General features: G+C 40.1%; 1 long non-coding RNA gene across 2 annotated transcripts in view; it reads right to left on the reverse strand.

The window, feature by feature from the left end:
* The window catches only part of AADACL2-AS1 (AADACL2 antisense RNA 1), a 176,997-nt gene extending 153,290 nt beyond the window's left edge, over positions 1-23,707 (reverse strand). For both annotated transcript variants that reach the window (NR_110203.1, NR_110202.1), the window contains exon 1: positions 23,389-23,707. This is a non-coding gene — a long non-coding RNA (AADACL2 antisense RNA 1). The remainder of the gene's footprint in view (positions 1-23,388) is intronic.
* Between the last annotated feature and the right edge of the window lie 1,481 nt (positions 23,708-25,188).

The following is a 25,188-nucleotide window of genomic DNA, read 5'->3' on the forward strand; positions in this document are numbered from 1 at the left end:
TACAGTTCGGATACTTGTCCCTGCCCAAATCTTATGTTGAATTGTAAACCCTAATGCTGGAGATGGGGCCTAGTGGACGTTGTTTGGATCATGAGAGTGGATCCCTCCAGGCTTGGTGCTGTCTTTGCTGTAGTGAGTGAGTTCTCCAGAGATCTGGTCATTGAAAGGTGTGTGGCACCTCCCCCAACCCTACTCTCCCTCTTGGTCCTGCTTTTACCATGTGATGTGCCTGCTCCCCCTTCACCTTCCACCATCATTGTCAGCTTCCTAAGGCTTCCCTAGAAGTTGTGCAGATGCCAGCACCATGCTTCCTGTAAAGCCTGCAGAATCGTGAGCGAATTAAATCTCTTTTTTTTTTTTTTCTTTTTTTGGTGGTGGTGACGGGGAGTGTGGGTGTTTGTTTGCTTTTATTTTCCTGCCTTCTGCCTTTTGAAACCTCTTTTCTTTATAAATTTCCCAGTCTCAGGTATTTCATTATTGCAATGCAAGAATGGCCTAATACACCCTCCACATCCACATTATCAGTTTCAGGAAGGAGAGAAGAGAGAGTGCAAAAGGCCTCCTCTTTTAACCACATGAAGCACATGTCCATTCCACTCCTTTCCATTTGCTAGAATTTAGTCCCACCATCAATCCTGACTGCAAGTGAAAATGAGACATATAGTCTCTAACTGGTAGCCAAGGCCCCAGCTAAAACTCAGTATGTTCTATAACTAAAAGAAATAAGAGGAAGATTTCTATAGCAGGACAAATAGAAGCCTCCGGCCCCAGCTGTTGGTGTTAACAACTGAAGTCCAGAGGTTTTCTTCCTGCTTCACTCAGCAAGAAAAGGTCTGAGCACAAACAACTGTAGCTCAGTATTTGTCACCCTGGTACTATTGACACTGTAGGTCACATAATTCTTTATTGGTGGGCTGGAGGATATTCTGGGCATTGTTGTATATCTAGCAGCATCCCTGGCCTCTACCCACTACATGCTAAGAGCACCCCCTACTCCAGCTGTGACAACGAAAAATGTCTCCAGATATTGCCAAATTTCCCCTGGGATTAAACTGGTTCTAGCTGACGACCACTACTCTACCTATAAGATGCTATCTCAGGGAGTCTATTCTTTTAAGGAATCTCCCCTTTGTTTTTAAATATGATATCCCTGAATGCTAGAATCTTCCATAGGTGTCAAGTTAATCCTATTCCCCTAGCCTTTTGACTCACTCAACAAATAATCTATTAAACACATACTAAATAAAGACTTCATGCTGATTGATGAGACGATATGGAGAGGAATTAGGAACCACATCCTTAGAGCTTCATAGTTTCATAAAGAAGATAATACATGCAAAGAATTATATGGGCTATAAAAAAATAGATATTGACATATAATAGCAATAATACATGACTGAAAGTGAGACATGCCCCTCATATTACTAACTTCTTTAGAATGTTCCTAAGTCCAGCGTGGGTCAATGCACAGTTTTTATTTTATTTGCTGTTGGGATGATTAACACATAAACCTTGTGTTTTTCCTACATTTGCATCTTAAGATGTTCATCTTTAACCCTCTGGAAACTGGTCTCATTAATCCAAGTATTCCCTCACTGCTGTTACATATTGATTAGTAAAATAAAAAGATGTGGTTGTCTGAAGATCTACTTAAGGCTACAATGCTTCATATTTTAGTCTGGGGTCATTGGTTGTAAGTAACAGAGACTCACATAGAGCATATTAGGTAAAATCCAAAAACCTATTAAAAGAGTATAGGGTCTATTTTTCACTACAAATATAGATCTTTAAAATATAAAACAAAATCCTTTCATCTAGTATCAGGATTTTTTTTAACTGATGGTAAATGTTAATTACTGTAAGAAACTTCCATCTTTCATTTAATTTTTATCACTTTAGAAAATCTAATCAGTATCTTTACACTAATTTTACTTGTCTTGTTAGATGAGTTAGTAAGGCTGGTAAATAATTTATAATAACCAGGTCTTATTAAAAATCTAATCCCTTTAGGTATCTAAATTTCTTGTTTTTTCTCTTCTACCCTGGATGTCTGTATTTTGAAGAATTAGACTTTGGAAGTACAGTGGACATAAAACCACTCTTTTCCACTCTGCCTCACTCAACCTTAACAAATCTGCCCATGCCCTGTAATTAGAGATTCTGCTCCCAGATAAACTCCTAAATGAACAAGGATCACATGCTATGTCCTGAATGTAGATTTTCTTTCAAAATTCTTATGTTGCAACCTAATACTCAGTGTGGTACTATTAAGAAGTAGGGCCTTTATGAAGTGATTAGGATAAAATTGATAATCTTATAAAAGAAGGTGGAGGAAGCCTCTAGCCTCTTCTGCCATTGGCATAATCTATAAAGAATGAGCCTTCACTGGACACCGAATCTTAATTTTGAGCTTCCCAGACTCCACAACTATGAGCAATACATTTCTGTTGTTTATAAATTATTCTAAGGTATTTTGTTGTAGCAGCCTGATCAGACTAAGCTACCACACAATCCATCTCTTTAGCCACAGCAGATAGAATAGAAGGAGGGTTTAATACCAGACCAATAATAGGGCAATTAATTAGTTTCTTTCTCAAAGGAAGTTCTTGAAGATTAAATGAGGATGATCCCTTATTTTCTGCTACGTAATGAGCAAAGAAGATGTCAATCTAAAGGATAGAGCAAAATAAGAGACTTCTTAGGGGACCAGACATACACTCCTGGAAGTTTGAATGTATATGTAAATGTAGTGACTCAAACTGTTTCTTACCCGGAAGACTGAGAAGACTAAAAGCTTGCTAGATTACTCCATATCAGCAAATATATAAGAAGCAAAAGCAATGTAACTTTTATTAGCCTGGCAAAGACATGCAAGTTTTTCATTGATCAAGGGGAATTAGGCTTGAACCATTTTACTAGTCCTCAGTTCAGAGACCCATCACCTAAGTAAGATGATCATAGAAGCACAAGTTGGAGCTGCTGAGTGGCTCAAAAACGTCTGCTTGAAAACACAAGACCCAGATAACTCTGCATCAAGGAGACTTCCTACAGGTCCTCCAAGGAACTCATACGTGTTGCCCATGCAGGCCACTGTAAGGAGACTTGTTACCTACATGACGTCAAAGACCAGGGACTACAGCAACATGAATCTGACCTTAGAGGAATCTGAGAGCAGAAGAGAAAGGAGGGTATAATCTTAAGGCAGAAAAGGCTTTGAATTAGAATTTTCAGTGAAGTTTTTCTAATAACTGAATATGACCACACTTATCCACATGATTGTGGAGACTGGCAGATATCAGAAGACTTACCCAAAGGTGTAATTTCCAACATGTCCCAGCTAGTAATTTCAAATGGGAGCAGCCTGAAAGCTGAGTTTAGACAATTTTGACTTCAATAACTCCTTAGAATTGTGCATTAGAAGGAGACAAAATAGGGATCTACCTGACAGGGATGCAACAGCCTCTAAGACTGGGATGGGTTGTTGGAAAAAAGAATAGTATTAAATACAATTATAAGACACTAGATCATTTATAAAGTATGGTTAAAAAATCATGATACCATACGAAAGACCTTGTAATCATCACAGAACTGACTTTTGGAGTCCAAATGACTACTGAAAAATCTAGAAATAAAATAGATATTGACTATTATATACTAAACAAATGGCCTAAGTCCGACCGATATACCTTGTTGTTAGTATGCCCTGGGCTTTCTAGTAGAGACAGTAGTTATTGTTAGTTTCAAAGAATGGCTATTAGGAGGCCAGAACAGGTATGAAGAATTTAGTATTCATTTGTTCAGAATAATTTTTTCCTATCCTAAAACAATGGATTGGGGTTTCTCCAGATACCATTTACTACCAGTGACTGATTTACAAGTGTTAGAATATTTAGATAATGTGATTGTATTTGGGAAGACTTTGGAGAAAAAAAAAAAACTAAATCCTTAGAGTGACAGACTATCTCAATGAGTCAGAATTGAATATGTTCCCTAAGAAGTAGGGTTCTGTTCTGTTGTGCCTGCGCCTATTCGTCTGCTAACTTTACAGTAGATATAGTTTCTCATCAGAGCAACTGTTGTCCTTATCTGCTGGCCTCCTTTCAGGAGATTTAGAGAAGTAAAGATGCTCTGAAAGTTTAGCTGGTGTTTCATGCTGTCAGTGAAAGATTACACCTGGATCCTCATTCATTTGACTTGTAAGCATTTGGTTAGCACAAAGCTCCCTCCCATGTGTTCAAAGATGCCCATAGTGGCTGTGGGAGAGAGACGAGTGACCCTATCACCTCCAGGGAAGCTTGGAGTAGGTAGTCTAAACCCTCAACCAGGTGTTCTCCCCCTTAGCTGACTATTAGAACAACCTGGTGAGGTATTTTTTTTTTAATTCAGAAATTCCAATTCAAGTAATCGATTTTCCTTTTAAGGCTTCCCCAGGTGACTCTAATATTTAGTGAGATTAAGCATGTTTGTCTTAATCAAACATCTCAATTTAAATTCTGCTGACTTTAATAACCATTGCACATCACACATTGATGGTGGCTCAGAAGTTGAAAGAGTGGTAATATACTTTTAAAAATTTAATAATTGGAGAATGGAAACTCTGGCATTTGCTAGTCCTTGACTAAAAGCTCAACCTCTTATTCACAAAGTAGACTTTTTATCGAAGAGGTGGGCTACATGAATAAATTTAAGGTGTATGTGTTTGAAAGACCATTTTAAGAGTTGACCAGTAACAACACTCTTACTTCTTATTTATGTCCTAACTGTTCTAAATTGGGTGGGACAGTACTACAAGGTTCACTGGCTATGAGAGTTGTTGCTGGCCAAGGTTAAACCAGAGAAGGCAAATGCTCTGTTAGGCAGGTATCATCCTCAGACACTGATACCCTCTTTAGTGAAGTAGTAAAATCTATTTGGGATGATAACTGAAAGAGCCTCACACAGTTGGGGTGGACAGAGACATGATTGATAATCTAGTGCTTCCACCAGAGATTCTACTAACAGCAACTGAGAATTAAGCAACTTGAAATCTAGCCTCCTTCTAGGTGGAAATGAAGGACTGATAATAGGGCCTTTGAGGCAGATTTGGAGGTATGGATCAGAGTGGAGCGAGAAAGGTAAGCATTCTAGCAAACTGTATCTACATCTTCCCCAAAAGTAGGAGAACCTTATTCAGAGCGTGAAATAAATGATCACCAATTAATGGTATATGATATAGTGTCATCATGCCCAAGGCATTAGTTATGGAAGCAGTTGGTCTTGGCCAGAAATACTGCTCCATTGTGCTGAGAATGAAGCATAATAATTTCCTCTAGGGAGGAAACATGCCAGAATCAATCATATTGTAGGATACAGCAGCTAATGTTCACACAAAATGTGACTATTTTCTCAGAGAAAAATATTATCCAGCAAATCAGCGTATCTGGGAATGACTCAGCCATTACACTCTATAATCAGTATGCATTGACTTTCCTGTGTTTAGAATCAGAGAGACAAAATCTGGACAACTTTCTCCAAGTTATGAATCAGTTTATAATTTCTATGCCCAGATAATTCCAACCTGAAATTTTCCACTTGTTTTCTTTCCAACCAAAGCAATTTTATTTTATTTTTAGTCAATCTGGAAATATTTTTATCAATTAATCTCCACCAAGTATAAACTTGGTGGAGATCAAAAGTTCCTATCATTCCATAGGAGGTCCATGCCAAAGAGACTTAACAAGTTTATTAATCACATGGGAACTCTCCTAGGAGGCAGAAAATACAATAGGTTTTCAAGTCAGGGCATCCAATGTCACTAAGAGTGTTGCTACTAGATTTCCTCTTTGACTCTTAATGGAATTACCAGAGCCTTATGCCCCTCCATGGCTGTTTGTAGGCTGCTTCTCCTAAGTTGCAGGAGAAGCTATAAGGGGTTTGTCTACCATCTTTTATGTTGATTTATCACAGCAATTATATAGAAAAACATTAAAGATGCCCTGTTACAAAGCCTGTAGAATTTAGTTTCAAATAAGCATAAAATACTTGATAGGTAAAATGGAATCCCATGTCTGAAAGTATATCAACTGGGTTTTCATCTTGCATATATGGTGGAGCCAGAGACCCAGAGACGAGGAGTGGAGCTATCAAGCAGTTCTTAAAAACCATTTGTCAATCAGGAAGCTTCACAGAAGAAGCTCTGCAACCCCACTCCCCTGACTCCCTACCCACAAACTCCCAAAATTTACATAAAACTCATGACTCAATGGTCCAAATGAGGGCAATAAGAGTTCCCATTTTCTTCTCCATTAGCAAGGAAGAGGAGAAAGAAGGTGTTGTCCTCTCCTTAAGAGTAGTTCCAGTGTATCCTCTACTTTGAGTAAAGGTGAGAAACATACTATCATAACACCGAGATGTCATGAATGCTCCTCTAAAGACCTTATTCTCCAAGCAGAAGAGTTGAAGCCCACTGGATCAACCCACTGCATGCAGGACAACAATGAGAAATGCATCATGAGAAAAAAGTTGGCTTCTCATGTAGAAGGAATCTGGATATTCACCCAACATCATGGTGGCAGCAAGAGTTCTTTGTGCCATCTCACGTTTCCATTCTGCCTGGCATGCTATTCATGAGCACTGGTTCTGTGTAAGCAATGGTTTCAGACATTGGTGATGAGTAGATAAATACTCGTTAAGTCCCTGACTACTAGTGGATCACATTATAGAGAGGGAAGAAGTAAAAGTTATTATAAAATGTGCTATACCAGCTATAGCAGAGGTATTGAAAAGACACTAAAGAGAGCAGAGAAAAAGGGAGATTTAACTGTATATGGGAAAGAGGTAGAAAGGTTTTACAGGGAATGCCTCATGATGTAGCTGTCACTTGAACTGAATCACAAAGGAACAATATTTCCCAGATATACAAACAGAATAATATTCTATGTCCAAAAACAAACAAGCAGGATTAATGTGTAGTAAAGAATTTGGCCTTGCCCTAAATCAGGTCTGGCTTTTGGGAGATAATCTGTTGTAGCTGATAGGAGTGTTTTTCTTGAGGATAGAAGTTGATTTCCATAGTCTTACAGCAGAAGCTGGCTACGTTAGGACCAATCATGTGATTTAGGATAGGGACTTTGGGCTCATGGTATCAGTCAACCCAGAGACTGAGATCAACTACATAGGCAATTGACAAGCATGCCTGCAGAATGAAGCCCCAATAAAAACTCTGGGCAGCAGAGCTCTGGTGAGCTTCCCTGGTTGGCAGTATTCCATGCATGCTATCAAAAACTGATAATGAAATATGCATGTTGAGTAAAACAAAAACTTGATGTTTGGAATTCTTCCAGACACTGCCCTATGCACCTCTTCCTTTGCTTGATTTTTATCTGTCCCCTTTCCCTGTAATAAACCATTAACATCATAGCTTTCAGTGAGTTTTGTGAAAACTTCTAGTAACTTTTCAAAACTTAGAGTGGTTTGGAGAACCTCCAAACTTGTATTTGGTGTCAGAAGTGAGGGTGGTCTTGTATGGACTCTTCACACTAACTCTGTAGTTGGACTCTAGTTGGACTCTAGCTCCTTTAAAACTGTGTCAGAAGTCTTGTGCATACATGGCAGTATGTGGACTGTGCCCTCAAACCTAACAGTTTGGCTCATTCTGAATAAATATCCATGGTAATTTTTGAAAATTCTGAATTATCTCAGTACTTCAATTTGGAGGGGAGGAGTGAGACATGTAGACTAATGATGACAGATGAGTCTGGAAAGGAAAGGAGTGATTATTTTATGAAAGGTCTGACTCACTGTAATAACTAGTTGGAATATATGAGTCCCGAATTTGAAGTCAAACTTAGGTCAAATCCTGACTCTAACACAGGATTAACCAAGGGAAATTATGTATCCTCTGTTATAAAGTGGTGAGGAGGATGAAGGGGAAGGTATGGATTAGTCAAATAAAGAGCCAGAAGTATTTCTACAAATGGGATACTTGGATCTAGGACTAAGAATAAATCACCAATAAAGAGGAAAAATTAATATCCAAGAAACTGGTTAATCGTGATGTTTTAATAACAAGTATATACCTCTCCATTATGTCTCCTACGGACTGCTCATATTGCTAAAATTCATTTCAAATAAATGCTCCTGTTCTGGTGGATTGGGAGTAAGCTTTCAGAATAGTTTTGAAGGAAGATTCCCAGGAAGTTCTAGTTTGATAGCCTTTGCTAGAAAATCCAAGAAGTTTGCCACCCACTCTGACTATTATTATTATTAATTTTTTTTGAGGTGGAACCTCACTCAGTCACTCAGGCTGGAGTGCAGTGGCACAATCTCGGCTCATGGCGACCTCCACCTCCCAGGTTCAAGCAATTCTCCTGCCTCAGCCTCCTGAGGAGCTAGGACTACAGGCGCGTGCCACAACGCCGGGCTAATTTTTGTATTTTTAGTAGAGACAGGGTTTCACCATATTGGCCAGGCTGATCTTGAACTCCTGACCTCATGATCCTCCCGCCTCGGCCTCCCAAAGTGCTGGGATTTCAGGCGTGAGCCACTGCACCCAGCCCACTCTGATTATTTAATCATGTTATTGATAAATTATTTTGCTAATCTGCATCTAGCCACTTTAAGATAGGTTAGATCTATGAAACAGACTGCATTTCCTAGTTTCAGAGATAATCATCTACTGTCTTTTTCACTCAGATTTATTTGCCTGTAAACAAATGCCGAAGTATTCTCTCTGTACATTTTCTATACAACATGCTCTTATTTTTTCATTGTTGTTCTATTTTATGATTGCCCTTTAGTATATGTTCAACTGTGAGCTTCCTGCTTGGCCAACTGATGATAGCAGAGCCCAGAAATACTTAGTTTTTGCAATGAATAAAGCTTGGAGACTTCTTGGATGGGTAAAAGGAGTGGAAGTGTGTGGATAGAGAGTCTGATAATAGGCAAATAAAGAAGTTTTCCTTGGTTCCAGCTTGTATGGTTGAGTAGATGGTGAAGCCATTAGCCAGCAGGGGTAAAACAGGATGAAGTGCAATCCTGGGTGCTCCATAATATGTTCAACAGGCTACATGGAATTTGAGGCATCTAGGTGAACATTTCAAAAAAGTGGTGACAGCACAGAACTCAGGTTCTATCAGAATTTGTAGACAGATAGATTGAGCTCTCTCTCTCTCTCTCTGTCTTACTCACTCTCTCTACCTGCCTACCAATTATCTATCCATCTATCTCTCCACCTACATACCATATATCTTTAGTAGTATATTATGATTAACAATCATCATTACAGTTTCTCTTATAATTCTAATAGTACCAAAAGCACTACTAGTAAATAGTCAATTTTTATTATTTTTAATGACGTATGACTTTACATATAGCAGTGTGTACATGTGTACTATTATTTTTTTAAATATGTATATAATCCCTAACCACTTCTCAGAGAAAGATATGAACTACTTCTACCATTCCAGTTCCCTGATGCCCCTTCCAATTCTATACACAACCCCTAAAAAGAGGGAACTCTTAATCTTATTCTCTCCTCATCATCTGTTTCAGGCAGATTCTAAGGTGGCCACCCATGATCGCCACTTTCTTGTATTCAAATTTGTGTAATAACCTCTACTGAAGTATAGGAGCAACATGTGACTGCTTTTTAACCTAATATGGCAAAGGTGAGGAGACTTCTTCTCCAGTACAATATGCTATATAAAACTGTCTTGATAGCAGGCTTATTCTAAAGTCTTTCTTTACTAGCTTGATGAAGTAGGTGGCCAAAGTGAAAAAGCCAGCTTGGGAAGGAAATGCAGATAGCACTTAAAAACTGTGAGCAGGGGCCGAGTGCAGTAGCTCATGCCTGTAATCCCAGCACTTTGGGAGGCCGAGGTGGGTGGATCATGAGGTCAAGAGTTCGAGACCAGCCTGGCCAACACGATGAAACCCCATCTCTACTAAGAATACAAAAATTAGCCGGGCCTGGTGGCACGTGCCTGTAATTCCAGCTACTTGGGAGGCTGAGGCAGGAGAATCGCTTGGACCCGGGAGGCGGAGGTTGCAGTGAGCCGAGGTCGCGCCGCTGCACTCCAGCCTGGTCGACAGAGCCAGACTCCGTCATGAAAAAAAAAAAAAAAAAAACGTGAGCAGGATCTAAGAACTGATGGTGGCCACTAGCCACTAGCCAACAAGAAGCCAGGGCCCTCATTTCTACAACCAAAGGAAATGAATTCTGCCAACACTCTGAATGAGTTTGGAAGAGGATTCTGTCCTAATCAAGCCTGAATAAGAGAAAATATCCTGGCTGATATATTGATTGCACTTGTGTGAGATCCTAAGCAGAGGACCCAGGTAAGCTGTTGCCAGACTTCTAGTCCCTTTAAACTGTGAGACTATAAAACTGTTTTGTTTAAAATCACTACATTTAATTTGTTACTACAGCAATAGAAAATCAATACATCATTTATTAGTGTTACTTGTTCTTGAACCTCATATTGAAGGTTCTGTTATATAGTCTTTACTCTTTTGTGCCTAAATGTCATTCACACAACATAATATCTATGATGTTCGTGTCCATGTTGTTACACGTAACAAGTTTGTTCACTTTTGTTGTTATATAGTGATCCATTGTGGTATTGTTTGGCTCTGTGTCCCCACCCAAATCTCATCTCTAATTGTCATCCCCATGTGTCAGGTGGAGGAACCTGGTGTGAGGTAACTGGATCATGAGGGCGGTTTCCCTCATGATGTTCTCATGATAGTGAGTTCTCATGAGATCTGATGGTTTTAAAGTGTGTGGCAGTTCTCCACTTGCTCTCTCACTGTCTTGCTGCCATGGGAAGAAGGTGCTTGCTTCCCCTTTGCCTTCTGTCATGATTGTAAGTTTCCTGAGGCCTCCCAATCATGCTTCCTGTTAAGCCTGTGGAACTGTGAGTCAATCAAACCTCTTCTCTTCATAAATTACCCAGTCTCAGGTAGTTTTTTATAGCAACGTGAGAACGGACTAATACACATTGTATGCTAACAAAACAATGCATTGTTCATGATCTGGTTTATTATCCAATCTAGTTTTTGGTTATTGTGAATAAAGCTTCAGTAAACACTCTGATCTTTTAGCAGATGTGTTCTCATTTCTCCTGAAATAGGATAAGTATATGTTTCTCTTTACTGAAAACTTCCCAAAGTCATCCAAAGTAGTTGCATCATTTACTTTCCCACCAGCAACTCACACAGCATACAGTAAACATTTTCTGAACTTAATTAAATTACTTTTGCACAAACTATATTGCAGTTTTGGACATAAAGTAGTTTCTTTGTTGGATTTTGCTAAAATCGACTTACCTGTCTACATGATGTTCCTGGAAATTTAAGCAATAAGATTTTGCAAAGAGCAGGCTAGTTACCACATCCAACATTGGCTATATTATATAAAACAAATGCTCAATCTTAAAAAGCATACTTCTACTGTTTCATAATTGAATTAAAATGAATTAACATGTACTTATATACAAAAATGATACATTCTAATACTCTATTATTTTTATATTTAATACTCCATCTTCTGCAAGATGGTATTTTGAGATTGTTTTTTCCTAGAATTATTTTTCAGCTCCTTTTTCTTCCTCATTTAATAAGCCAATAATTTCTCTCATTTCTACCACCTACTTATGCTTCTTTTCTTTTTCCCCAAGAGACCCTGATTTAGTTTAGGCCCTCATAATATTACCTGGATTATCGCAATAGCCTTTGAACAAATTACTGCCTCTAGCTTCGAAATTATTCTCCACATTCTGCCCACCATCTTCCTATCTTTTTATAATCCAAATCTAATTTTAGTTCTGGTGAAATGTTCTCTTTTTTCCAGAGTTGTATTTGCTCTCTTTCCTGTGATCTTATTGCATTTGTACACGACTTTATTATTACTCATCTTTAGGAAATTGTCTTTGTGTTTTCAGTTTCTAACTGTGAACTCCTCAAGAATGTGGAGGCTCTCTTGCTAATTTGCATATTAGCTCAACTTATTACTGATTCCTGCACAAAGGAGATGCTCAAAATATTTGTTGAATTGATCCCTTCTACTAATGAAGATATTAATGTATTAAGGGAATTGAGGATATTTAAAATGTTCTTCAAATAAATATTTAAATTTCAAAATATCTAATGCCGAGTAAAAGTTTTCCCTATAAATGATGTCATTGGGCATTATATTGAGACTCTTTCTGTCTCCGTTTCTATAGAGTTTCCTAAAGGCTGAGAACAAAACAAAGAGAGCAAGAACTTGCAACTTCCAAAGTGAGGCTAAACTCCCTGTACAGACCTAAAATAGGAGGGGCCCAAAATTGACGTTTTGACCATTAGCTTCTCACCCACCTTATGGGTACAAAAGAGTTAAGTTTGAAGATGCCAGGGAGTTAGGGAAAGAATTGGTTTTTGACAGTTATCTGGAGGAGGAAGATATGATGCTCCACCTCACTCAAGCCCAGTGAGAGGACTAAACTCCACTTCAAAGACTAAGTGGAGAGCCTACATGGGTCTGGTGTTGCTTAGGAACACAATCAAATTACCTGATTCATGTCTGAGAAGAAAGTGACTGGAGAGAGTTGGCTGAGATGACTTCTGACTCTAGCAGAGAGAGTTTTATAATAGCCATGCTCCCAACAAGTGTTTGCTTTTCTGGAGCAAAAAACCTAAGGACAGACATTGGTGTGTGATCTTTATTCATGGGACCCTGTCCAAGGGGGTTCCTGCTAGGGGCAAAATCTGACCCGAGAGGCAGAGGGAGATTATAAATTATCAGCTGAAAAAGAAGCACTGTCCTGCAGTAAAGCTGCTGTTGAAGGGGCTCAGTCAAAACCAGCTGTATAATTTCTGGGGCCCAGTGAAAAATGAAAATGCAGGGTCTCTTGATCAAAAATTATTTTAAAAATGCAGAGGCAACAACAGAGCATTAAACCAAGCCTGGGACCCCTCTAAGCCTGTGGTCCTGAGATTCTACATAGGGCTCACACCCATGAAGTTGGCCCTGACCTGGTTGTGCAGTCACACAGCTCACAAAAGCCCTCAAAAATGACCACAAGAGAAATGGGCAGATTTGAACTACTGCCGCAGTGCCCCCCAACCCACCAAATGAATGTCAGATTGCAGAGGTATTGGTGAAAGAAAACACCTTCTGCTCTTTACCTCTTTCCTCTTCTTCTCTTGAACCCTCAAGTCAGAGGCAGCCTTGTGGGAAGAAGAGTAGAAACTTGGTAGGGACATGGACCAGAATGTGTGTGACCACCTCACCACTTCTCCCCACTGCAGACTTCTGGTGGGAAGCAGACAAAATAAAGGGAAGAAGTTTAACTTTAGGTGAAGTTAGCAATTTTAAGTATTACACAGAGATAGGTGATTTAATTACTGAAATGAAACAATTTAGGGGGGAAAGGTAACTAGGAAACCTTTCTTCTTTTAATTTCTGAGAATTTATGGGACTTGCCCAAGATTTTTTTCAAGGTGGTGATGAAGAAGATGCCAAGACAGTGGATTTGCAGGGCTGTGATGGGAAAGAGTAAAGTACCTTTATAAATGTGCCCAAAAGAGTTCTTCTTATTCACTATAATGATAACGACTATTTTTATTTATATACTCAAATCTCTCCGGGTAAACACACACATATCCACACACAAACATTCATGCTCACATATATGAATTGATGTTGAAATATACATACATTTGAGGTAAAGAAGTTGAACTTGTGACTTAATTGAGCCATGTCTCTGAAATACATCAATTATAAGCCACAGCAAAAATATTGCTTATGAAAGAAACCAAAAACAGAATGTGTGCTTTAAATTTTTGTTCTTGTTCTACTTAAATTTGAGAAACTAGGAATATAAACCTGGCAGATGGGGGTGGGGGCATAACTCTAGACAAAGTTAGAAATGCAGATAAGGTATTCTGGCCAAGTCTTTAATTTTGGAGGTTATGGTTAAATCATCTGCAATGTACAGTTAAGAAATGTGCTTTTACTGCCCTCAAGTGGTTTTAAAATTGTCACTGCAACATTTCTGACGACTTCAAAGTGAATGTTTCAAAACCCTAAGCAGTCTTCACATTTTCCAGGCTATCTGACAAGGGAATCTGAAATAATAATCTTTTATTCTGAAATAGTTTCTAAATAAGCAAATAATGAAATGGATCAGGTAGATTTATGTTGTTGTGTTGAAATATATGCACTAATACAGATTTGTAAAATTGTTTCTCTTCTTTTTTTAAAAATGTAACTGTAGCTTATACATGGACTCTCAGCTGGTCAGGGTTTGCGTAGGAAGATAGTATGACAGTTACTTCTTCTTCTAAATTAAGCAGCTGAAAATTATATAAATATTCAGAGAATGTAAGCTTCAACATCTTTGTAAGTGCTGTTTCTCTGCTTCCCTTTCTACCTCACAGGAGAACACCTGAGTAGAGCAGAAAGCTTGCTGGGCCAGCCCTGCCTGCTGGCTCTTTGCTAGACTGGGTGGGTGGCCCACCGTGTTGCTGCCTTGGCCCCTCCTTGTCGCTTTCGGATGCTGCCAACCCCTTGTGATATGGTTTGGCTGTGTCTCCACCCAAATCTCACCTTGACTTGTAATAAACTCCACGTGTCAAAGGTGGGGCCAGATGGAGATAATTGAATCATGAGGGCAGTTTCACCCATACTGTTCTTGTGGTAATGAATAAGTCTCACGAAATCTGATGGTTTTATAAATGGGAGATCCCCTGCATAAGCTCTTTTACCTGCCACTATGTAAGGCATGCCTTTGCTTCTCCTTTGCCTTCCACCATGATTGTGAGGCTCCCCAGCTATGCTGAACTGTCAGTCCATTGAAGCTCTTTCCTTTATAAATTACCCAGTCTAAGGTATGTCTTTATTAGCAGTGTGAGAACAAACTAATACACCTTGAGTCTCAGTCATGCTCTCCTCCACCAGCCCATAGTTTAAGAGATTACTTGCAGTTTCTGCTCTTGGCACATTTACTCCTCACCATTGTGGGCCATTCCAGGCCTGCTGGTTCTTGGCTCTCATCAGCCTTCTTCAGCACCCCCAGGGAAGCACAAAAACATGTCTATATATGTTCACACCAAAAGACAGCCCATGTTGGTGCAAGGTTTCTATCCTGAGCTTTCCTTTTGCTGAAACCTCCTACTGTTCACATGTTCGCTGATCAGAGTCCCCTGGAAGTCTTGTCAACACACGTTTCTGGGCCTATACCCAGAGTTTCTGATTCAGTAGCTCTGGGTGAGTTCCAATGACTTGATGTTCTAGCAGGTTCCCAGATGACGATGCTACTGGTTCTGGGACCACTTTTTAAGAACCACTGGCCTAAACCAGTACTTCCTCCAATTGTTCACATAGAGTTACATGTAAAATATAATAAAATAGCTCATATTTTTGGACCACAGTTGACCATGAGTAACTGAAACAACAAAAAGTGAAACAAGGAATAAGTGGGGACTACTGTAGATGGTTCAAATTTTTCTAATGTGTAGAAAAAAACATAGAGTAACGAGTTTCTCTTTCATAGACAACTATGGGCACATTTTTGAGCGCACATAAGTTTGTTCAAACAAGTTGGGTAAATACCTAGGAATGTGATTGCTGATTGTAGAGTAAGAAAATATATATGTGTTTTGTATATACATATAACACATCTTTCTCCATGTTTTTGTCTTCTTTATTTTATTTGTTGATATTTTGTCATTTCCTACACACATTTTCTATACATATTATATTAGATTTATATCTGTGTAGTTGAGCTACTGTAAATGGTATGGACTCTTTTTCTAATTTTAATGTTTAGTTGTTTATTGCTGGTATATAAGAAATCAATTGACTTTCAACCTTCTATCCTGTGACCCTTTTATATACACTTATCAATTACAGGAATTTATTGTCATTTCATTGGTATTTTAAAATAGAAAATTATATCATTTGTGAATATAGACAGTTTTATCTCTTTCCTTCTGATTGGTGTCCTTATAAGAAGAGGAAATTCAAACACACAGAGATACTAAGGATGCACACAGACAGAGGAAAAAATCACGTGAGGACACAGCAAGAAGGTGGCCATCTGCGAGTCATGGCGACAAGCCTAAGAAGAAGAAAAACCTGAAGGCACCTTGAGCCTGGACTTCTAACCTCCAGAGCGAAATAAAATTCCCTTGTTTAAACTACCCAGCCTATGGTACTATGTTATGGCAGCCCTAGCTAACAAATATAGAACCCTTAACATATTTATCATAGGTATTTTAAATTTTCTGTCTGAAATTCGAACATCTGTGTTACATTTGAGTCTGGGTCTTATGATTGCTTTGTCTCTTCAGACTGTGTATGTGTGAGTGTGTATATGTGCGCACATGCGTACACGCATGTTTTGCCTTTTTGTACATCTTGTAGTTTTTGCTGAAAGCCAAACATGTTGCATTGGGTAATTATTTTGCTGAAAGCCAAACATGTTGCATTGGGTAATTATAACTGAGATAAACTGTCCTTTACTGTCAGGATTTACATTAATCTGGCTGGAATCTAGGCTGTGTTTAATCTCAGCTGTAGCTGTGGGTGCCAGAGGCTTCATGTTCTTCTAGTCTCCTTGCTTTTGTCTTCTTTCTTGACTTTAGGATTCCCTAAGTACTCCTCCTCACAGAGAGTCTGCATCTTGCAGCTCTTTCCGATGTAATCCAGTGTTACTATATTGCAGTCCTGCTGGTGTGGTGGTAAAGTGTCAGTGAGGGGATGCCTTCTATATACTTAGGATGAAAACGCACACTTTTAGTCAGCCTGTGTCTGTGGGCTGTGACTTTCATAAGCATTTCTCCGGTTGTATAGTTTTTGTACCCTCTTAGTTGGGGCAGAAACACTAGAGGGAACTAAAGTGGGAGGAATGCTTTTTTCCAGCTTGGATAAGGCTCAGGTAAAGTCCTTTTATCTGCAGCGTAGTCCATTATGGAGGAGGCTGTGGGTATATTTTACATTGACTAGTTTTTCTTTCCCCTGCTAGTGCCACAAGGGAAACTTTCATGAATATTTACCATGAGAACCTGGAGGGGTTCCCAGAGGTAAAAACCCATAAAATTGTTGAAGCCTCTCTAAGATTGGGACCTCTAGGAGTTTTTTGCTCTCAAATAATCCATACTCAACCTCTAGGAATTTGTTAAAATTAATATTTTAGTTTTTCTGCCAGCTTATGGTGCTAATGGCTTCTGCTCCAGATAAGTTGCTCCACTGTGACTGTCTGGATTCACGTATGTATTCTTTTTCTACTGACCACTATAGCAAATTACTACAAACTTGGTGTCTTAAAACAACACAAATATATTATCTTAAAATTCTAGAAGTCAGAAGTCTGAAATCGTTTACATCAAGCTAAAATCAATTAGTCAGCAGGGCTATGTTCCTTCTGGATGCTCTAAGGGAGAATTCATTTTCTTGCGTTTTCCATGCATTAATATAAGGCCAAGCACTTTTCAAACTGGTATCACAATAGTTCTCTTCTGCTACCCCTTCCAAATTTGAAGACCATTATAATTATATTGGGTCCAACTAATATTGCAGGATAATCTCCCTGTTTAAATATCAGTTGATTAGCAACCATAATTCCATCTACTACTTTAATTCCTCTTTTCTTTGTCATATAGCATATTCATAGAATCCAAGGATTACGACTTGGATTTCTCTTCAGCCATTATTTTGCCTATCACTGCCTGTCCAGATTTCAGTGGCAGGTTGCTCTGAAACCTTAGTTCTTTGATAGATCTAAGAACAGTTGTTGATTCTTAGTTTCTTCAGCTTTTTGTTATTTAAGGATAGGAGTGATGACTTCTAAGCTTTTTTTTGAGACGGAGTCTCGCTCTGTCACCCAGGCTGGAGGACAGTGGCATGATCTCGGCTCACTGCAACCGCCACCTCTCAGGTTCAAGCAATTCTCCTGCCTCAGCCTCCTGATAGCTGGGACTACAGGTGTGTGCCACCACACCTGACTAATTTTTGTATTTTTATTAGAGATGGGGTTTCACCATGTTGGCCAGGCTGGTCTTGAACTCCTGACCTCAGGGGATCTGCCCACCTTGGCCTCCCGAAGTGCTAGGATTACAGGCATGAGCCACCACGTCCGGTCGACTTCTAAGTTTTTTAGATGGTGGGGCTAACACTAGAAGTAGTAAGCACTTTTTCATACTAAATCCAGAGTTCTTAAATAGCAGTAACTGAATCTCTCACCTTTTTGTCTCTGGCATTTATTAGATGGACAAGTTTTGAGTGAGAGGATGTGGAAGGAAGGTAATCTCTCCATTAAAAACACTTTGCTTTAGATTTGAATAACTTAGAGCAAAAGATGGAATATAATAGATTGACATTTCACAGAGGTGTCTAAGTAGTCCTTTGAAAATAAATGAGGACAATTACAGTAGATACAAAGAAGACTGTCACTGGATTATGATTTGAAAGCTGTGCCCTGTATCCGGTGAAGTTTCTCTTTAAAGAACATTTTGTGCTTCATCAAAACCAAACCAAATCTAGTCAATCCTATTTCAATTAATTTGGTTAGCCATGAATTTTTTTTTTAAATAACACCTAGAACACATTATTCCAGGGCTACTAAAATATACATGTACATCACTTAAACTACTTTCTTTCCATCATCAAAGAGTATGCTTAAATACAACTCCAAAGCCAAGGGTTTAATCCTAATCTTTTAGAAATTTTTTTTTAAGTTTTGAAAATTACCTACATATTATGATTTCCTAGATATTGTTGATGAAATGTAAATGATGGGGAGGACAACTGCAAAATGACATACAGGTGTCCTGGAGGACTCCACGTGACTTTATCCCAATATATGTATGCATTATTAATCACCAGGATCCACAATTTTGTGATCATAATGTTAAGACTTTTTTGAATCTTTTGGGCGAATGTTGATATGCATTTTTTATTTCCCTCTAACAAAAAGTCTTAAAGTCTCCTCTCTCTTGTCTTTTTACAGTATAACCAGAGTAGAATGTGGATTTAGGAAATATGATAAGTTGTATACCATCTGGTTCTTTACCATAGACTATTTCCCATGCTATTATATCAGAGGGCAGAAACTGGCAGCCTCAAATAAAGTTTGTTCTGTAGATACATTTTTTGGGAGGTCAGATATTTTATTAGAAAAAATTAAATCAGTTTTTAACATTTAAAAATCAGAAGATTTTCAATTTTAAAAATCTACATTTTTGGCTTTTTTAACTGGGAACTTATTTCCACCCATCAAGAGAAGACTGATCTTAAGAGAAATGTCTGTCTTGGGGAGGAGTGCAGGATGGCAGACCTCTTTATTTTGGCAAAATTCCTACCACACTCTATTGTATTACACCCAGTATATGCATGAATTTTCTCGATAGACATTTGAGTTTGCACTCCCTGACACTTTCCTCTGCTACTTCAGTTACTGGCTCTTATCACTGACATTTAAGAATCTCTTTATAATGGCCTAGAGAATAAAGTTGCATAGGATGCCTATCCATGGAAATTCCAATGTTCATACAGAGCTAAATCTGTTCATCAGTGTTTGCAATAATTGCTATGCTTTAAAATTTGTAAACGATAGTTGAAAGGAAGTCTTGCAGCCAGATGATATCTGACTCATTTTTGTAGTATGATTAATTGTGCTATAAAAAGTATTTTTTAATCTAGTCAGGATTCTTTAGGCTCAAGAGACAAAGAATACTCAAGCCCAGATGAATTTAAAACTAAAAGTTGAGTGTTATGGTTGGAATCTAGGAGACCTTTAAGAAACTGGTAGTGAGACTAGCAGAATTAAAAGATAGGCAGGGGCTGGCTGGGTACTCTGGGCTCTCTTACTAAGTGTCTCTGTTTCTTAGTGATTTTTTTTTTTTTTACAATGTCTCTTCTTTTTTACTCACTCTTCTTTTAAATACTTTTTTGCCTCCCAATTTTAACCTTCACAATGCCACACAATGTCCATCCCAGCCTATGACTTTTTTGGCCACAGTTGGTTGGTTTTTTGAGAGGACTCTGGCCTAGCTCATCTTTTGCAACCAGCCAGAGGAACTGTAAGACAACATGCAGCTTCTGGATTGGTAGCCTTTGGATAAAAGCGTTACTTGTCCAATCAGTCACAGCCAATGATGTGTTAATACCATCATAATCACCATCATGTCATCTCTTATCATTACTGTCAATATTATTGCTAACACGTCTTAGATGCTTACTATGTACCAGACAATCTCCTAAACACTCTAGACCTGATTCATTTAATCCCAATTACAATGTGTGAGGCAGACACTCTTTTGACCATATTTTACGGATGAGGATATTGAGCATGGTTGTGGTGCTCAGCAGGGACTTGAAGGCAAGGGCAGCATCCCTTATTGCTAGCTGAGGGACAAGCATAATAGATGTGTCTAGAAAAAACTGTTTTCCCTTTGGGCTTGCAAAATAGGAGGTTCACAGAGAATTACAGGGTAATCCCTTTATTGAGAAATTACTAAAACTGGTTTGCAATTTGCTTTGTTTGCACAGTTGTGCATCTCTCTAAATGTATTACAGGCTGGTACAGTCAGCACTCGCAACGGGACAACTTCAGGGTCAGACTTTAAAGTATATAGAGCTTTTTCACTCCCATTCCCTTTTCTGTGTTCCCAGATTCCATGAATCCTTTCTTTCCACTCTCTTCCCCTTCAGTCAGTCTCTGCTGTTGCTAGCTCCTCGTGAATTCTTTAGTTCTTTCCTCTGAAGACTCAATCTCACCCACAGGTTTCGACAACATTGTGAACACGGGACTCGGCAAGGTCAAGCAGTGACCAGACTCGGGGAATACTTGAGAATAAATGTTTGCTGCCCAACCTGAAACACCTAGGTAGTCACAGATTTTGTGCAGAGTTGGTGCTTAAAGGCCAGTTGCAGGCCCTGTGGTAAATTTCAGGAATAAAGGTAGGACCTCAGTTGAGAACCAGCAGCCAAATACAAGTCAAAGTGCAGCATAATGAGAGATGCACAAATATCAAAGCAATCCAAGAAGGAGAAATTAAGTAGTGGCAGGTAAATTAAAAGTCAGAGAGAGCTTTGGAGAGAGTGAGCATGTTGGGATAAACTTTGTCAACCTAGAGGATGTGGCTTCGGTGATCTCATAACCATGCGCCGTTGGGGTGTTATGAATCTGTACACACCACAGGTGGAGGCTTAAAGACAGCTATGTGCTCATTGAACTACTGAAAGCCACACAACCCAGATTTTCTTCCTCCAGGGGGTCTCAATGGAACACCGTTCCTTCTCTGTTCCCTCCTTCCCTCTCTCCCTCCCTTCCTATAATTGCCCTTTTCAGTCCTTTTCAGGCACCAGGTACTTTTCAGGTGCTAGGGATCTAGTAGTGAATAACACCCTACCCTCGAGGAATTCACATACTAGAAGTAAAGAGAGACCATAAACAAAAGTCCTACTGGAATTTCTATTTGCCAAGATTTCCCCGATGTATTTTTTGGACGTCAACCTAAGCCTGACCAAGAAACCCTCATTAAAACAAAAGTTACAGCTCCAGCCTCTGTGTGGCTAGTGGATAAGCCTCAAGGCAGCTCACAGCTCCCTCCTGAAAGACTTGTTTGCCTCATGGTTTTTTATGGATGAATCATGCTTCCTACTAGACTCCTGAGATTTTTTTTTAAAACTCTTGTCTTAATGTTCTTTTCTTTTACCTCTTTTCTTTTTATCCTAACCCACCTTCAGAAAATAATAAGATACAAGTCATGTATAACTTAAATGTATGTAAAACTTTAGTTTAAATAAATGTACCATCTTTCAGGGACACAGCCATCTTACTTCTTAGTTTGAAAAGTTGAATGAAAGTATTTTTTCCCTATTAGAAACATTTTAAAAGTAAGGATCTAAATGAAGTGACTACTAAGAATAAAGCCTGTCCAAATATACACCTTTTTTTATTATGTGGAAGGCAGGAATTTATTCAATGTTTCCTTCGGTTTTAACCAGAAACAAAAAGTACCTCATGCCTTCCAAAAATGCTCAAAGATAACGAGGAATTACACTGCCTCATCCTAATTCTCTCAAGCTTAAATTTCTTAATTACAGTTGTTTGCCAGCAGTTCTTTATTAGTATAGAGTCAGCTTCCAACAAAGGAGGAATCATTAGTGCAGCAAGATAGCTGGCCTCTTCGGGAGGAAACAGACAGCTGGAAGTCCACGACCAATTCTCAGTAAAGGGACACTGCATGGGTAGGAAAATGGTTGAAAGTAAACTTAGGTAGCTGAAAAGAGCCATGTCTGCCATGGCCTCGTGTTGAAGTTAGAGCAGAGCACACCTATTTATTCTGACAATTTAAGACCTCATTAACTAGACACTGCTTAGGGCAAATTAATTGTGTTGAAAGAGAAACACCCATCAATACATTTATTAAGTGTACCCCTATTATTAGAATCTTTATATTTTATATTCTGGGTAGGGTGGAGACAGCGAACTTGCTCTATAAATGATTAGTAAAGTGTTTTTTGTATATTTGAGTCAGACTAAAAAGTGTCCAAATATGTGCTAATGGTAACCCAGTCTCTAAAAATAAACTATGTGCCTGTTGCTTACAATGCTGGCTTCTTTGAGATCTATTTTACATGGTTTTTCCATGCCCAGAAAAAAAGAGGTGCGGCTCTTACTGCAAACACATTTGAAAATCTATCTGATGATTTTGTAGGGCCCAGAAAGCACCTAAACATGACTCACATATTACCAGCTTCAGAGCAACTGAAGCGATCGTAGCGATTGTTTTTTAACTCCCCACAGATGTTGGAAAATTACAAGGCTTGTGCTTCATAAAAATATCACTCTACCTACGCCTGGCTTCTGCCTTTATTTTAATGAATGAGAATGTGTAAAAATTTGGAATTGTGCATGTTTGAATTCCATAGGCAGTGATTAAGATTAACTAATTGATTGTGCAAAGCTTCAGAAAATTGAAACCAACTTGCTATATTTCATGGGCTTCTATCAAAACAAAATAAAGATTTGTTTGGCCTTTTTTTTTTTTTTTCATTTTCTGCTTTTATTGCCTCTTCTTTCTCCTTACATTTTATCAGAAGACAAATATTTTGGGGGCTTGAGGAGAACAGAAAAGGGCAAATTTCTCCATGTTATAACATTTTCTTATAGAATCTGACTCTGCAAAGCAGAGAAGTGATTCAGCTAACCTCCCTCAGGTTTTCTTTCCTAAATTTTATGCATGAGAAACTGATGCTCAGAAAGATGTTCACTGGTTATTCCCAGACCCAGAAAGCAAAGTCTATTTTCTTTATTCGAGCCATGTAACTACTACCAAAATTTTTCACTGAGTATAACCAAAACTAACTTCAGATGAGTTAAATCCAAAAGGAATTGTCAAAGTTTGTTGTATACTCACAGAATTTCCGGAAAAGCTGGAATGTTAGACTCTGAAAATGAGCAGGAACCACGAAAAGCTGAGTAGCAGGAACACGACCAAAATTATTCCTCAGGAAACGTTGGGATGGGCGTTATTGAGAGGTGACAGCGTGCTGGCAGTCCTCACAGCCCGCGCTCGCTCTCGGCGACTCCTCTGCCTGGGCTCCCACTTTGGCGGCACTTGAGGAGCCCTTCAGCCCACGGCTGCACTGTGGGAGCCCCTTTCTGGGCTGGCCAAGGCCAGAGTCCACTCCCTCAGCTTGCAGGGAGGTGTGGAGGGAGAGGCGCGAGCGGGAACCGGCGCTGCGCGCGGCGCTTGCGGGCCATCTGGAGTTCCGGGTGGGCGTGGGCTTGGCGGGCCCCGCCCCCGGAGCAGCGGGCGGGCCCCGCCGACCCCGGGCAATGAGGGGCTTAGCACCCGGGCCAGCGGCTGCGGAGGGTGTACTGGGTTCCCCGGCAGTGCCAGCCCACCGGCGCTGCGCTCGATTTCTCACCGGGCCTTACCTGCCTTCCCGCAGGGCAGGGCTCGGGACCGGCAGCCCGCCATGCCTGAGCCTCCCACCCCCTCCATGGGCTCCTGTGCGGCCCCGAGCCTCCCAGACAAGTGCCACCCCCTGCTCCACGGCGCCCAGTCCCATCGACCACCCAAGGGCTGAGGAGTGCGAGCGCACGGCGCGGGACTGGCAGGCAGCTCCACCTGCAGCTCCGGTGCGGGATCCACTGGGTGAAGCCAGCTGGGCTCCTGAGTCTGGTGGGGACGTGGAGAACCTTTATGTCTAGCTCCGGGATTGTAAATACACCAATCAGCACTCTGTATCTAGCTCAAGGTTTGTAAACACACCAATCAGCACCCTGTGTCTAGCTCAGGGTTTGTGAATGCACCAATCAACACTCTGTGTCTAGCTACTCTGGTGGGGCCTTGGAGAACCTTTGTGTCTAGCTCAGGGATTGTAAATACACCAATCTGCACTCTGTGTCTAGCTCAGAGTTTGTAAACACACCAATCAGCACCCTGTGTCTAGCTCAGGGTTTGTGAATGCACCAATCGACACTCTGCATCTAGCTACTCTGGTGGGGCCTTGGAGAACCTTTGCGTGGACACTCTGTATCTAGCTAATCTGGTGGGGACGTGTAGAACCTTTGTGTCTAGCTCAGGGATTGTAAACGCACCAAATCAGCGCCCTGTCAAAACAGACCACTGGGCTCTACCAATCAGCAGGATGTGGGTGGGGCCAGATAAGAGAATAAAAGCAGGTTGCCCCATCCAGCAGTGGCAACCCGCTCGGGTCCCCTTCCACACTGTGGAAGCTTTGTTCTTTCACTCTTTGCAATAAATCTTGCTGCTGCTCAGTCTTTGGGGCCGCACTGCCTTTATGAGCTGTGACACTCACCGCGAAGGTCTGCAGCTTCACTCCTGAGCCAGCGAGACCACAGAACCCACCAGAAGGAAGAAACTCCGAACACATCCGAACATCAGAAGGAACAAACTCCAGACGCAGATGCGCCACCTGAAGAGCTGTAACACTCACCGCGAGGGTCCGCGGCTTTATTCTCGAAGTCAGTGAGACCAAGAACCCACCAATTCCGGAAACATTATGGCCGCACTGCAGAATACCAGGTATTGCCCCTACCAACCCCGGACATTGCCTGTCATTAGCGCTGTCACCAGCACTGTTCAGACTCTGGAACTCTTGTCTCTGCTACCTGCACTGGGACAAAAATCTCCTTTGTCCCTGTATCTTTGCATCACTTGCTCTAGAGTGGATTTCCTGGCAGGTTA

This window comes from Homo sapiens, chromosome 3, assembly GCF_000001405.40.
Source record: "Homo sapiens chromosome 3, GRCh38.p14 Primary Assembly".
NCBI classification, from domain to species: Eukaryota; Metazoa; Chordata; class Mammalia; order Primates; family Hominidae; genus Homo; species Homo sapiens.